Source organism: Homo sapiens, chromosome 17, assembly GCF_000001405.40.
Source record: "Homo sapiens chromosome 17, GRCh38.p14 Primary Assembly".
In the NCBI taxonomy this organism is placed as follows: domain Eukaryota; kingdom Metazoa; phylum Chordata; class Mammalia; order Primates; family Hominidae; genus Homo; species Homo sapiens.
The window spans coordinates 32,491,410-32,506,291 of NC_000017.11; the positions used below are offsets into that span (position 1 = coordinate 32,491,410).

Consider the following 14,882-nt stretch of genomic DNA (forward strand, 5'->3'; position numbering starts at 1 on the left):
AGTCAGCTTTGGTTTAGCGTCGGCCGAGGTGAGGGCAGCTGTTTCCCAAAGGCTCCCGTGGCAGAGCTGGGTGACTGGAACCTCCGGCCAAGGAGGGTCAGGCCCAAGCATGGCCTGGTGAGGTCTGGCCGGGTGGGTCCTGCAGGGGCTCTGGACCCTAGACTCCCTGTGTCGAGGTGTGACTCTGAAGCTGCTGCTCCCACGTATTCTTGGGCTTGGCTCTGCTCTGTGCTCCCTTCCCCCGGGGTCTCCCAGGCCAGCAGGGGTGGGCTGGCGTCCACATGGGCCAACCCTGCAGGTTTAGCTCCATGCGGGTTTCCAGGAGGGAGAAATCCAGCCCTGTGGCTCCCAGGGAAGCAGCCACTCCAGCCCATAATTGCGGCAAGGGTGGGGTTCCTACCAGCTCTATCTGTACCTGTCCTGACTGCCAGCCTGAGGCCTGCACGTGCCACCAGCGTCAGCCTCAGGAAGAGGGTTATGGGGATGCTGGATGTGGCCCTCCCCAGGCCCTGCACCCTGCGGTCTGAAGCTGCTCCTGAGTACTAGGAAAGTCTTTCTTGTCCTCAAGTTGTAGCTTGGGAGCTGTCAGCCTTGTGATCAAGGCCACTTGCTTTCCACAAAGCAACTGCCTTCGTCTGAGTTACAGAAGCCACCGCTGCGTGTTCTTTTCTGCCAATGACCAGTGACCGGAAGCACCCTGGCTGCAGGACCCTTGGGTGCTGGCCATGCCCTGTTGCTCCCTCAGGGCCTTGCTCCCTTCCCCAGGAGGAGCTGCTGCTTCCTCTCACTCTCCCTGCCGCCCCCACACTTCCTCCCAGCACCTTTCACTCCGCTGGCCTGGCCTGTCCCCAGTCTGCTGCTGTAGGTCTCTGAGCCTTTCCTTTCTACATACGTGCTTCTATTGCAGTAAACATATTCCCTGGCACTAAGCAGTGTGCTTCCAGCTGCCAGCGCACAGGCCTCAAGATGGCAGGAGAAAGTGCTGGGACTCAACCCCACGGCCTCCTTCCCTCCTCACACCTCCGGTCCACAGCTTGCTTCTTGCTCACTTTTTGTTCAAAAGCCTCAGGCAAATCATCCTCCATTTTACATGATTTGTGCTTAATTCTCCCTTCTATCCTCCCAGATAATGGTTGACTTTATTTAAGCAAAAATTTCACCAAGTTTTCAGTGACAGATAAGCAGAACACCTTTAAAAATAAGATTTAATGCTTTATTGCTCTTGATGGCAAATCAAAATATGCTTTAGAAATAAAGTTAATTTACTGGAAAATAGGAGTTTTTGCACCAAACCATAAAATTGCATTTCATTACATCAAGAGAACCCCCTCATTGTCTACAATCATGCCCGCTTCCTTTCCCCTCAGCGCCCGGGACACGTGACCGAGATCATACCCTAAATTCCTGATCCTTTTGCAGTTGCCACATACTGTGGCTTTTAGTACATCATAAAAAAGTGCTTGTCCTGTGGCCTCAGCTGGGAGGCCCTGGCGCTGGGGCTAAGGGGCCCAAGGCACCATCCAAAGGCTGGGAGGAAAGAACCCAAACCCAGGCCCTCCTCCTGCCCTCCAGCCTTTGACAGGCAACTCATTTGGCATGATCTGTTTTGGTGTGTTTAAAACATACATTTGCATGTGTCTAGTGTAAAGCAACAAGTTTGAGGAAATAAGTGGAAGGAGAGAGGAAGTTCCAGTTAGATGGTTCCACTAGTGTCTACTGGTAATTGGCAAAACTATGAGTGTTGCTAATCTGGGCTGAGGGCACCTCTGCCTGTGCAGGCAGCTGACCAGGCTTGGAGAATGAGAAAGGGTTCCCAAGGACAGGATGCCAGCGGGATTCTTTGTTGCAAACTGCACACAGTGCAATTTTTGGGAAGCAGGGATGGGGAGTGGGCATGAGACCGGGTTGTTGGGACCACTCTGGGGTCAGGCCCTGGGTGAGGCACAGGAGGCTGCACACAGGCACTTGGTGGGTTCTGCCGGGTCAGGGTGGGAAGGCAGGAGAAGTGTCTGTGGCAGGACGGGAAGAAGCTTCAGTACATCCCTCTCTTGCACCTCTGCCCACTCCACCTGAGGCGTTGGCTCCCTCCCCCTCATCCTCTCACCACATGCCTGAGGCGTAGGCTCCCCTCATCCTCTCACCGCATGGGGCATTTGCTCCCAGCCTCTACTTCCCTCAAGGCCTTCTCAGCAGCTGGGGCTCAGTGGGGAAGGTGGTCTCAGAAGGCCCCTGAAGCATACGTGCTTTTGCTGGGCAGAAACTGGCAAGCTGGCAGTGCTCCCTGGCACCAGTTTCACGGGCGCAGGCCCCAAGGGGCCGTGTAGAGGGCGGGGTGGGCATCCTGGCCTGGCCTGCAGTGCCAGGACCCCACGCTGTGCTGCTGCCCCGCTTCCTGCTTCCCGTCATCCCGTGTCTTGACCCCGCCCTTGCTGTTTCTCTGAGTAGGAAACGCAGCGGGAGGTGGTCCAGAGGGAAAGCGGCCGACCCTGAGGGCTGCCCTCACCCTGGCAGCTCCCCGTTCTCATTAGGGTTCCTGACCCAAGTGTGGTGACAGCAGGTATCTGATTAGCAACCCTGCAAACGGTGAAAGTATCTATAAGAGGACCACAGCCACAGGCTGCGAGTTAAGTAAGATGATCCTTGGAGCATGCCACACTGTCCTCTCCAGAGCGGTGGTCAGAGGCCCTGGTGGGGGCCTTGGTGGCAAAGGGAGTCTCCCAGGGGAGAACCTGGGAAGGATGGACTCACTCTGCTGGATGGGCTGTTCCGCTCCTGCCACTGGCTCCTGGCTGAGGGGCTGGCCCTGTGGGTGACTCTGCTCACCCAGTGGCTTTGGCTGGCGGCTGGGAGTTGGGTTGGGGTGGGTCCGCCGAACTCTGAGCAGAGCCTCCCTGAGCTGGGTCCCCAGGGCTGGCTCACCTTGGGCAAGAGAGGTGGCTATGGGGCTCCCGCAGAGTGGGGTCCTGCATCCCCACCCCTTCCCTCTGCAGGGTCAGCAGCAGGGAGGACACCTGTCCAGGTGCTCTGACTTGACCTGGCCACGGGGCATCCGCACCAACTAAAGGCACCATCCAGTTGCCTCTGGGGTGAGATTGGTCTGGACGTCAGCCCAGGGGTCTGGGCGGGGCACCAGGGTCTTTGGCTTATTGAACAGGGACCGTGGACAGTAAGGACAGAGGAAGATGATACCAAAGGCAGAAAACCAGGAAGGAAATCTTACAGGGGCGGGGCTCCTCTGGGAGGGGCCCTCGCAGCAGGTTTCTAGCGGGCATGGGTTGGGAGGCAGCAGCTGGACTGGGACCCAGGACTCGGAGTGTGGCCGGGCTCCGGGCCAGGCCTCCGCGGGGCGTCAGTTCCCGGGCACGCTGAGGATGAAGCCCGAGCGATTCTTGGTGAAGTCGGGCTGGGGCTGGTTGAGCCGCGTCTCCACGGAGACGGTGCACTTCTTCCCGTGCAGGCTGCACTGTACTGGGTTGGTGACGTTCACTTGAAGGTGGCGCTTCTCACTGCAGGAACCAAAAACACCAGACGGGCAGTTAGCAGGCAGCATGAGAACAGGGCACCTGCCCGGCAGCTCCCGGCCACCATTGGCTCCGGCGCAGCCTGCTTCCTCCACAAGTGCCAGGAGGATGCCTGAAGGGCCCCAGAGAGGCCGAGGCAAGGCGAGTGTGGCACTAGCTGGGCCTCCAACCACAGCCTCGGCACCATGGCAGGGCCCTTGGCTCCCATGCCAGCGCATGGGACTGGACAGTGGAGGGCCATGTGGTTGAACAGACGCCACCAGGTCTCTGGCTGGGGCTGAGGACCAAGCCCCTGGGTCCTTCGGTGTACCAGGGCTGGGGTTCTGACTCTGACACTAATCCATCCTGCGGGAGACCCGTGCCACATGCCCCAGTGAGAGAGAGAGAGAGAGATGTCTCCTGCTCCTGGCTGGTCCCTGCCTGTCACACCCCGGCTGGTGGAAGTGGGCCTGACTTGGGTTTCCCCAAGCGAGAGGCTGCTCTCATCTGGAGCTGGGCCGCTTGGCTGGTTGCCACCCTGGAGGCTGCAGAACAGTGCAGCCGGTGCCCCACCGGGGGCTGCAGGGAACCCTGTGCAGCAGGAAGCCCCGCTGGCCTGGGAGCACATGAAGGCGGCTTCAGCCGGGCGTCCGGCCGGGCTCCAGGTCGGGTGCAGAGGCGGAAGCTGTGCTCTTCCTGCTGGACAGAGCCCGAGCCCGAGCCCTTCCTCCAGCTCCTCACACGACGCTGAACATGCTAAGAAGCTGCTGCTGGTTTTAAAAGCAGAGACACTTGTCGCGATAGGCTGGCACCCCAATGTTTGCTCACACAGGCAGCACAATCCCACGCTGTACCTCAGCTTGTGCCTTGTCAGCTCTGAGCTGGGAGGGGAGAGGAGAAAGGAGGAAGCCTCCTGACCTCGGAGCCTCCAGTCAGGACTGGCTGGCTCTGCTCCGTATGCCGAAAGCCCTGGGAATTTTTCACTGCTCTCGGGATGGCGTCTGGGGCGTGGGCAGGTTGGTCCCGCTTTGAACGCTCTGCTGGACTTACGGAGCTGCTCTTAGTGCTGGGCAGTGAACGCCAAGCTGTCGTGTCCACACGGCCAGGGGAACGCCAGGGCCAAGGCCAGCATGCGCTGAGCTTCTGCCCAGCCTGGAGTCGCCTTCACCAGGCCATGAGCACGTGAGGCACTTTCTAAGCACTGGTTGCCCGGGAGGCGCAACTGCTCAGACGCCGAGGCAGCTCAAAGGGCTCCGACGTGCGGTGGCTCCACGGGGTCAGCGTGCCCAGAGTAATGGGTGTCACTAGAGCACCTGGCCCAGCACACGCTTTCTGAGGACACCTGGTGGGCGCGCCCCACAGCAGGCCCCAAAGTTTCAGAGGTAAGTGCGGGGTGCTCAGGGGCTCTCCTCATGGCTGTCTCCCCCCTGCTTTCTCACGGACACAGGAAGAGACCCCGGTTGTCACTTGTGGGCATTACGTATCTAATACTTAATGTCTTGTCAGCTGCAGCTAAAACCTGAGCTTAGACAGCTATTTTTAACCAGACTTGGACATAAAAATAGCAGAGCCCAGCAGAGGCCGTGACTCAGGCCCTCTTCTACTCTTGTGGGCACCAGGGCCGCTCTGCAGGGCTCATGTGCAGCCCTTGGCGGCGGGGTCCAGGTGGGGCCCCTGCAGCCCTCGTGCTGGACCAGATGCCTCCAGGACCAGGCTGGTCCCTGAGCTGGGGTGGCCTCCCTGCCTCCCCTCTGTCAACCTGGTATGGCGTTGGGTCCCTCTCACTGGACTCTTGTCCTCTGGGAGCCTCCCTCCTGACCCTGGCAGCGGCCTCCCCCTGCTCGCCCTCCTGGAGGGCCTGTGCCCTTCCCTGTGCAGGGAGTCCAGACTCTGCCCTCGCCCTTCCCTGGGGAACTGCATGTACACAGTGGGTTCCAGAATCACCTGGTGACTCAGTCTGAGGGAATGGGCTCTAAACAGGCCACGCTCCACGTCAGCTCAAAAAAATTAAGAGACAGAAAATGGGAACCATTAGTTCACCCTCACCCTCTCGTGTTCAGACAATCGGGGCATGCTCCTCCGTGCAGGGCTCTCCTGACTCCCGCTCAGCAGGGTGGCCCCTGCCTCCACCCTCCCTGCTTCCTCTGGGCTCCGTGTATCTCCAGGATATGCTCTACAGCCTTGATGCCGGGGTTCGGGCTGGTGGGAAAATGGGGAGGAGCAAATGACTGCTATAAAATGGCACGGGTGCAGTGGCTCATGCTTGTAATCCCAATACTCTGGGAGGCAGAGGAGGGAGGATCAATTGAGGCCAGGAGTTCAAGACCAGCCTGGGCAACATAGCCTATAGCCCAGGAGCCCATCGCTCCTCTCTACAAAAAATAAAAAAACAAACCAATGAGCCTGGTGTGGTGGCCTGTGCTTGTAATCCTAGTTCCCTGGGAGGCTGAGGCAGGAGGATCGCCTGAGCCCGGGAATTCAAGGCTGTGATGAGCTATGATGATGCCACTGCATTCCAGCCTGGGCAACAGAGTGAGACCTTGTCTCTAAATAAATAAATAAATCGGCACCCAGGATATCATCCTCAGGGAGTTGTTGTAGAATAAAAAATGCAGCAGGAACCACTGCTCCAGATTGCTGCTTCCCACACGGGCTGGGCTGAAACCTTTTCCTCCTGCCCTCTGTTGTCCCTGTCAGTAGGTCCTGTGGAGTACTTGCTGCCTGGGGGAGGCCCTTCCTCAGGGAGTGTCCAGCAGAGGGAAGAGCAGACCACGCTCTGGAAGGTCCAAGCCGATCATGCACGAGTCAACAGTGCTCCCACTGCCGGGCCAGCCCCTCTTCCCCACCCGAGGCCACCACTCTGCTGAAATGAAGGTTCTTGAATAGCAAGAAGGAAGGCAGAAGTTGGACACTGGATCCTTCTGGGTTGTGGATGTGGATGAGCTAGCTGTGGGCCCCTTTCCCTCTCCCTGTCCTACTTCTGCTGTGCCAGCCCCACAGCTGCTCAGTCCCCTCCCTGGTGGTGGGTACTGTCCCGGGACAGCCAGTTGGTCCTCTCCTTCCCGTTGGCAATTCTGGCTTTCCGGCATTCCACACCACCGGCCCAGCCCCTGGGGCTTGGCGGAGGCAGTGTTCCTGCTAGCTCTTCTCTTTGGGCGGAGGAGCCCCAGCACCGCAGGAGATGGGAGGCAGTGCAGAGACTCGCCTGAGTGCTGAGGGTGGCGGGGCCTGTCTCTGTCCCCTCTCGGGGACCTGTCCCTCTCCTGGACCACGGATATTGATCTGAGGCAAACATCTAATTCCCACTTCCCCAGAACATCCCCCAACTGAACAAAAATCAGTGACACTTCAGGAAAGAAAAGGTGGTATTTAGTGGCGGTCCCCACACTGCCCCTCCCAGGACTGTTTTCTAAGCCCACGTGAGATCTCTCCTGATCCCTTTGAGGTCTTAATACAAGAGCCGGGCCTACGGGTGGGAGAGTCTGGATTCTGTCCTGGCCTTGCCATGCTTCCTGGCTTCATGACCTTGTTCAAGTCACTTAAACCTCTGTCTGGCTTTTACAACCATCAAACCATCTACCCTCCAGGTGCTCCACAAGGACTGACTCCACCCCGGGCACTGTGTCGGCACTGGAAACATGAAACCCGAGCTGGGAGCCAGACAGGGGTTCTTCCTGAGAGCCTGGGAAGCCGCCTGCCCTCGTGGAATTTACGGTCTAAGGAGTGATGCACGTGAGGCACTTTGAAAGATGTGAAGGACTGTGTGTAAAACATGTGCCAATTTCTCGCTTCGCAGAAGGAATTTCCACTGCTTTCTCAGTTAAGTGTCAAGAACCTCCAAAAGAGATGGTTCAAGAGAGCTATATTATTGAATCAGATTATGTTCTTTACACATTTTAGCATAGCTCACAAAACCATATGAATGTTTCTGTTTTGAATATTCTCTTCCTAAATGTTTTACATCCTGTGGGGAGGGGCTTGGATTCTGATTCTGTGTTTAAATCCTACAAGCAGGCCGGGTGCGTAGCTCACACCTATAATCCCTGCACTTTGGGAGGCTGAGGCGGGCAGATCATGAGGTCAGGAGTTTGAGACCAGCCTGACCAACATAGTGAAACCCCGTCTCTATTGAAAATACGAAAATTAGCCGGGTGTGGTGGTGGGTGCCTGTAGTTCCAGCTACTCGGGAGGCTGAGGCAGGAGAATTGCTTGAACCAGAGAGTTGGAGATTGCAGTGCCGCTGCACTCCAGCCTGGGCAACAGAGCGAGACTCCCTCTCAAACAAAATAAAACAAAAAACATCCTACAAGTGTCAAGCATGGTGGTGCACACCTGTAGTCCCAGCTACTCTGGAGGCTGAGGTGGGAGGATCACTTGAGCCCAGTTCAAGACCAGCCTAGGCAACATAGTGAGACCCTGTCTCTAAAAATAAAATTAAAAAGGCGGCCGGGTGCAGTTGCTCACGCCTGTAATCCCAGCAATTTGGGAGGCAGAGGCAGGTGGATCATGAGGTCAGGAGATCGAGACCATCCTGGCCAACATGGTGAAACCCAGTCTCTACTAAAAATACAAAAATTAGCTGGGTGTGGTGGTGCATGCCTGTAATCCCAGCTACTCGGGAGGCTGAGGCAGGAGAATCGCTTGAACCTGGGAGGCTGAGGTTGCAGTGAGCCAAGATCATGCCACTGCACTCCAGCCTGGGTGACAGGGCAAGACTCTGTCTCCAAAAATAAAAAAATAAAAAAAAATAAACAAATAAAAATAAAAAGCCAAGTATGGTGGCTCACACCTGTAATCCCAGCACTTTGGGAGGCGGAAGCCGGCAGATTGCTTGAGCTCAGAGGTTCAAGACCAGCCTGGGCAACATGGTGAATTACTGTCTCTACAAAAAAAAAAATTAAAAAGTAGCTGGGTGTGGTGGCATGGGCCTGTAGTCCTAGCTACTTGGGAGACTGAGGTGGAAGAATCGCTGGAGCCTGGGAGGCGGAGGCTGCAGTGAGCCGAGACTGAGCCACCACACTCCAGCCTGAGTGACAGAGCAAGACCCCATCTTTGAAAAATAAAAAATAAAATAAAAATAAAAAATAAACAACCCTACAAGTTTAATGGAGCATTCACACCACATGTACTGGTCTCCACTTTCAGAATGCAAGGTCCTGGCGGGGAGGGGAGGCGTCTTACACAGCTGCATGCGTGGTGCTGCCCTGCACACAGGAGATGCTCCCAGGTGCTGATGGGCAACACTGGCTGGGCCACAGGTTCTGGACGTGCTGGGGCCGCGTAAGGCTGCAGGCCTCAGTCCATCTGCTGTGTAAATGGCTCTCTCCCAGTAACACAACTTCATCTGCTCACTTCATCAACTTCGCACACTCACTGCAGCCTCATGAATGAGGAAGACAATGGGCACAACTGGTCAAGAGCCTCCTGGGATGGAGACTCACCCAGTCCATGAAGTTCCTTCTAAACACAAAGTGGCCAGATACCTGTGAACCAGACCTGGGAAGGAGGTCTGCTCCTTAGCAGAGAGATACTCTGTTTTGCCGCCTTAAGTGACAGTTGCCTGGGTTACTACTTTTTTCCTTGGCACAGACCTGGGCAGCCCTGGCCTGCCTGACTCCCAGCCTGTTTGTGTGGTGCTGCTGTGACGTTTGGGCAGAAGAGGGGGTTGAGTGACTACGTGTGTTGAGCTCACCACCGAACAACAAGGGCAAGAAGAACCAGCCTTCTGCTCTGAAGTTCGGCTGAGCACTGCCCAGCTGACGCCATCTACACACTGCCATCAGCAGATAACGAAGTCAGAAAATGTGGATTGAGGGGCCAGGCGCAGTGGCTCACGCCGGTAATCCCAGCACTTTGGGAGGCCGAGGTGGGTGGATCATGAGGTCAGGAGATCGAGACCATCCTGGCCAACATGGTGAAACCCCATCTCTACTAGAAATACACAAAAAAATTAGCCGGGCATGGTGGTGGGCACCTGTAGTCCCAGCTACTCGGGAGGCTGAGGCAGGAGAATGGCGTGAACCTGGGAGGCGGAGCTTGTAGTGAGTCAAGATCGTGCCACTGCACTCCAGCATGGGTGACAGAGTGAGACTCCATCTCAAAAAAAAAAAAAAAGAAAATGTGGATTGAGGTTGGCGGCTCCTCAGAAAGTTAAACATTGAACTGCCATATCACCCAGCGATTCCACTCCTGGGTATATACCCAAAAGAACTGAGAACAGACAAAAGCTTATACATGAATGTTCATGGCAGCACTGTTTACCAAAGGTAGCAACAGCCTTGTGATGTGATGATGGTGATGATGATGATGATATGATGAGGTGTCATCCACAGTTCCTAGCTCGTATCTCCCATAACCATTGTTAGTCTTTTGTTATAACGTTGGGGTGCTTTAGGCCTCAGAAGCCTCAGAAGCAGCCCTCAGGAAACAAAATCTCTCTCGCTGACTTTCTCCTGCCCAAGTCAGTTCTCTAATCTGATTGTGAGCCCTAACACCCTCATTCCCGAGGGGGTCCTGCCCAACACCTTGGAGGAAGGAATGCTGCACAGAGAGGCCAGGAAAGATCTGAATGGACAGGCCTTGGTGGGTTTAGATCAGTCCCTTTTTGGCCAATCTCATTTCGACACAGTTGTCCATGCTTCAATCATGGACAGCCAATGGAGTCTCCATAAAAAACTCAAGAAGGATGGGTTTGGAGCTTCTGGAGAGCTGGACACATGGAGGCTGACGGGAAGGCGGAGAAGAATCCAGCACGTACCGGGAGGCATCCCAGTCCGCGAGGACAGACGAGCCTCTGCTTCTTGGGACCCTTCCACACCTTGCCCTGTCTGTCTCTTTATCTGCTGTTTATCTGCATCCTTTAGAATATCCTTCTTAATAAATTGGTAAATGTAAGGAAGTGTTTCCCTGAGTTCTGTGAGCAAATTAATTGAACCCAAAGAGGAGGTCCTGGGAACTCCAACTGGAAGCTGGTTGGTCAGAAGTTCCAGAGACCCTGACTTGCAACTGGTGTCTAGGGGTGGTGTGGGGGCTGGTCTGAGCCCTCAACCTGTGGGATCTGACACCATCTCCAGGTAGATGATGTCGGAATTGAATCGGAGGACACCCAGCTGGTGACCACTGGTAGGTGTGTGGCGAAAACCTCCATACCTTTGGTCACAGAAGTCTTCTTCTGTGTTGATGACTGTGGTGGTGGTGTGAGAGCAGAGGAAACAGTTTGATAGAGACTTTTCCTACATAAACCCAAATGTGCATCAGTGGATGAATGAATAAACAAAATGTGGTACATCCATTCAATGAAATATTATTGAGCAACAGAAAGGAATAAAGTATTAGCACATGTTACAACAAGATGAACCTTGAACCTTGAAACATGATGCTAAGTGAAAGGTGGCAGACAACAGGCTACATATTGTATAACTACATTTATATGAAATAGCCAGAAGAGGCAAAGCCACGGAGGCAGAAACCAGTTAGTGGCTGCCAAGGGCTGCGGGGAGTGGGGGCGTGGAGGGACTGCTTAGAGGGCATAGGGTCTCCTTTTGGGGTGATGAAAATATTCCGGAACTAGGTAGAGGTGATGGTCTTGTAACATTGTGAATGTACTAAATGTGACTAATAATATGTTTTATGTTATGTGTATTTTACCACAATAATTTTTTTTTAAAATGTGGATTGACCTAAATGAAAAATTAGAATTTGCCTTCAAACCATGTTTTCTCTCCTCATCTCAAGTTTAGCCAAAATAATTTTAAGACTAATAAGAGATTTCTTGTGCTGATCCTGGAGACAGAGCAGAGAAAGGCCTGGGCAGGAGACGGAGTAGACGCTTGGGGTCAGTGACTTCTTTCTTGTTTGAACTTCGCCACACTCTGGAAATCCAACTAGAGCCAGAATTCTTTCCTTATTTTTTAAAGAAAAGGAAACATCGTACAGATGGAGGCAGGGCGTCTCCCTCTGAGGGTGCGCCAAGCCAAAGGACAGCTGCCGAGGGAGGCTGGCTGCATTGGGGAGGGATATTTTTTTTCCCTCCCCATCCTCTGTTACAGGATTTAATGGCCAGCAAACTGTGGAATTCGGGGACTTTCATCTCGTTTCATCTGTTTCAAGCCATCATTGCAGGCAAATGGCCTTTATCAAATTACTTTCCTTCATTTTTCATTTAGACTCTTGTCTTCTGCTCTTAGAGAAACCCGTGAGTAAATGCAAGACTTGATCTATGGAATGAACAAACATGTTCCCTGTGCTACCTGTGCCTTCGCAGGCCCTGCACAAAGTGGGACAGGCCACTCCTGTCCAGAAGGTGAATCAGCCCAGAAAACATCCCCTCCCATCCAGGCCCCTGGTCAGCTGGGCAGTGCAGGGTTTTAGGTCAAAGCCAACCAGGAAAGCGGGTCCTGGGAGGTTGCAGGCAGCCCTGGCTCAGCTGGGATTAGGAGACTGTCATTCGCCGACCTGCCCTGCCCCTGCAGAAGCCAGGCAGGACTTGAAGAAATCAGTGAGTCACTTTTCCTCTCAATGGCATTCCCTGTGAGAGTGGGGGTGATCCAGGTTCTAACAAATGCACTTCAAGGGAAAATGCAGTGGAAGTGGGGTGCAGTGCAGTCACTTGGTGAGAACATTTTTCTGGGTGCAGCAAGGAGTGTCTGAGAATATTGTGAGGCTAATGCAATGTTCTCTCAAGTTTGGTAACAGGATGTGGTAGGAGGAACACAGCCTTGCACCAAGCAGAGACAGGTGCTTTTCAAAGTGATAGTAAATGCATTAAGTGCTTCATGAGAAACTCTAGAGTCACAGAGACAGGCCGTCCTCCATCTGGATGTCACTAGGACATAATGCATGCTCTCTGGCTCACACTGAGGACAACAGCTACTGACTGGAGCATCAGGAGCTCATGACTGCAGCTGTTTACTCTGTGTTTCAGTTCCTTCAAGAAGTAAATCCCCCTGCTGATGTCAAACCACACAGGGAATCTCTTTCAAAATCTTGCTTTAGGAAATGCCACTTCTGTTTATGTCAGGGTCGAATGGACACTTTTACCACAGTCACCTATAAGGTGAGGCTATGATTTCAGCAACCAGGCCAAGTCCAGGAGTGGTGGCGTGGTGCTTCCTGGCATACTGAGTCCTTTCTGGGTCTGCAGCTGGTGAGGAATGGGGCAAAACCATTTGTATTTGGAAAGTAAAACCTTTCTCTTGTCATGAACCAACTGGGTCATATCTGGGTGTTGTCGGCAGCCAGCATGCCCTGAGACCTCACCCAAGCCTGCTGTCTGCCTCTCCACAGCACTGAACTGACCTGGCTCCCAGGCCCGGGGGCGTGATCCACACTCACCCTGCTTGTGTCCCCAACAGGACTGCCACCACCCTCCCAGCCTGGGCTGCCCCTCCCCCATGGCACTCTCCTCATGCTGCCAACACCCATTCTTCCCTTCCCTGCCCACGTTCTCTTTGCAGTGACTCATGGAGCGCCCAGGGTGGAAGGGGCACTGTCCAGAGAAGGACAAATGCGGTGAGGATGACCCGGGCCCAAGCTCGTGGATGCTAGTGCTTTGTAGGAAGCACCTGCTGCATGGAGGAGGGTCACTGACCCTGGGTGGCTGGGGTGGGTGGGCTTCCCAGAGGAGGCGACACACAGACTGATACCGCAAGAATAAGTGGGACTCCTGCGGGAGCTGTTTTGGCTTTGCTTTCTCACTCCTTAAATACTGCTTCATCTTCGGCCCCTTTCATTTTATACATTATTTCACAGTGGCATCACTCATGCCTGTGGTTTCAATGACAATGATCCAGTCCGTGTCCCCTCTCTTAGCATGAGGTCCATGCATGTCTTTTCAGCCACTTCCTAGACAAATCCCCGGAATGCTCTGCAGACAGCTGAGTCTTCACATGGCCAATGCTGAGATCATCCTCTTGGCCCCCTCCCTCAAAGTGCTTCCCTCCTCCCATCAAGCCTATGCAGTGAGAGGTGTCGTCTGCACGGTCACTGAGGCCAGAGAGCTGGCAGGCAGCCCCGCTCCCGCTCCTTCTCCACTGCCGACAGTCTCTGAGTTCTACTGATTGCACTTTTTGTCTGTGTCCCCTGCCGAGGCCTCAGCCCAGACCCTTTTCTCTCCTTCCTGGTTACTGTCATAGCCCGGACTGGCTTCTCTGCCTTGGGTCTGCCCCAGCACAGGGGCAGACTGTGTGATGTCCTCCACACAGTCATCAGAGAGATCTTTTAAGGGCTCAAAAGACCCTGCGGCTCCCCTGCCAATAGCTCTGCCATCGTCCCCAGAGCTTTCGAGGACCCTCCACCATCGGCGCCAACCCCAGCTGAGCTGGGTGCTCGTCTGCAGGCCTCTGCTCCATCTCAGCCTGAGCATGAGGCTCTGCTGTGCTGCTTCCAGCAGCAGGGACAGGGCTGATGAGCCTGGCCCTTGCAAGCATCTTCCTGTGCCGAATACAATTCCACAGACAGAGGATTTAAAATCCAAGTGGAGGTGACAGGAAAGAAAGGAAAACCTCCAGGTATCAGAAGAAAGGAGGGGGTGTGAAGACAGTATGGGAGGAAGGTCAGGCTGGGGCTCAGCTCTGGGAAGTGCCAGCCTGAACAGGAGTCACGCCCGGGTCCACATGCAAGGGAATGAGGACCGAGGCCCTGCATGTGGCAGGGCCTTCCGCAGGCTGCCCCGTCTGTGAACAGGACACCAGAAGAAGTCTGCCTTCCAGCCTGGCAAAGTGGCAAGGAACCTCTGGGTGGGAAAACAAATCAACAAACAAATTGTCAGTAAAAAACAGAAACCTCACACTTTCCTTTCTCTTGACCTCTTGAAAAAAGCAAATCCACTGCAGCTCACCAAAGGCAAAGAGAAAACCTTAAGAATACCCAGAGAGAAAAGACACGTTACTTGCAAAAGAACATCTAATGCAGGGAGATAATGAAAATACAGACTCTTCAAAGGGCTGAAGGAAAAAAACCGTCCACCTAGAATTCTATCCCCAAACTGTCATCTGAGAGCAAGGGCAAAACAAACGCTTTCTCAGACAGGCTGGACGAGGTCGCTCACGCCTGTAATCCTAGCACTTTGGGAGGCCAAGGTGGGAGGACCGCTTTAAGCCAGAAGTTTGAGACCAGTGTGGGTAACATAATGAGACCCCATCTCTAAGAAAAAGAAATTAAATAAGACAAGACTTTTTCAGACAACAAGTGCTCTGAGAGCTGGCCTATCTTGGCTGTCTTGTAAAGAATTGCTGCGAGACACCTCATTAGGAAAGAGACTGAATCTAGAAGGAAAGAGCAGAGCATGAGGTACAATGAGGAGCAAATAAACAGGTCACCATATAAGCAAACCCAAATACACATTCACTATACGAAACAATAAAAATGACTCATTTGGGGGGT

The 14,882-nt window shown here is 54.1% G+C and overlaps 1 protein-coding gene and 1 long non-coding RNA gene across 3 annotated transcripts in view, besides 5 other annotated features; one reads left to right on the forward strand and one right to left on the reverse strand.

Annotated features, from left to right (window-relative positions):
• Positions 23-142: an enhancer, noted in NCBI's record as "active region_12031". NCBI's record gives its function as "activates an Ori minimal core promoter by ATAC-STARR-seq in GM12878 lymphoblastoid cells {active_cell/tissue: GM12878}" and the evidence as "EXISTENCE:reporter gene assay evidence [ECO:0000049][PMID:35858748]".
• MYO1D (myosin ID) overlaps positions 1,113-14,882 on the reverse strand; it is a 384,603-nt gene continuing 370,833 nt past the window's right edge. For both annotated transcript variants that reach the window (NM_015194.3, NM_001411088.1), the window contains one exon: positions 1,113-3,506. In NM_015194.3, the coding sequence (NP_056009.1) occupies positions 3,350-3,506 (157 nt within the window). In that variant the 3' untranslated portion in view covers positions 1,113-3,349. The remainder of the gene's footprint in view (positions 3,507-14,882) is intronic.
• Positions 1,718-1,767: a silencer, noted in NCBI's record as "silent region_8425". NCBI's record gives its function as "represses an Ori minimal core promoter by ATAC-STARR-seq in GM12878 lymphoblastoid cells {active_cell/tissue: GM12878}" and the evidence as "EXISTENCE:reporter gene assay evidence [ECO:0000049][PMID:35858748]".
• LOC124903982 (uncharacterized) lies at positions 4,039-8,597 on the forward strand. Its single transcript, XR_007065716.1, has 2 exons — positions 4,039-4,882; positions 6,198-8,597. It is a non-coding gene; the product is annotated as an uncharacterized LOC124903982 (long non-coding RNA).
• Positions 6,011-6,518: an enhancer, noted in NCBI's record as "H3K4me1 hESC enhancer chr17:30824438-30824945 (GRCh37/hg19 assembly coordinates)". NCBI's record gives its function as "activates a minimal SCP1, AML or CMV promoter by ChIP-STARR-seq in primed H9 embryonic stem cells {active_cell/tissue: H9 hESC(primed)}" and the evidence as "EXISTENCE:reporter gene assay evidence [ECO:0000049][PMID:30033119]".
• Positions 12,164-12,934: an enhancer, noted in NCBI's record as "H3K4me1 hESC enhancer chr17:30830591-30831361 (GRCh37/hg19 assembly coordinates)". NCBI's record gives its function as "activates a minimal SCP1, AML or CMV promoter by ChIP-STARR-seq in primed H9 embryonic stem cells {active_cell/tissue: H9 hESC(primed)}" and the evidence as "EXISTENCE:reporter gene assay evidence [ECO:0000049][PMID:30033119]".
• Positions 13,706-14,476: an enhancer, noted in NCBI's record as "H3K27ac-H3K4me1 hESC enhancer chr17:30832133-30832903 (GRCh37/hg19 assembly coordinates)". NCBI's record gives its function as "activates a minimal SCP1, AML or CMV promoter by ChIP-STARR-seq in naive H9 embryonic stem cells {active_cell/tissue: H9 hESC(naive)}" and the evidence as "EXISTENCE:reporter gene assay evidence [ECO:0000049][PMID:30033119]".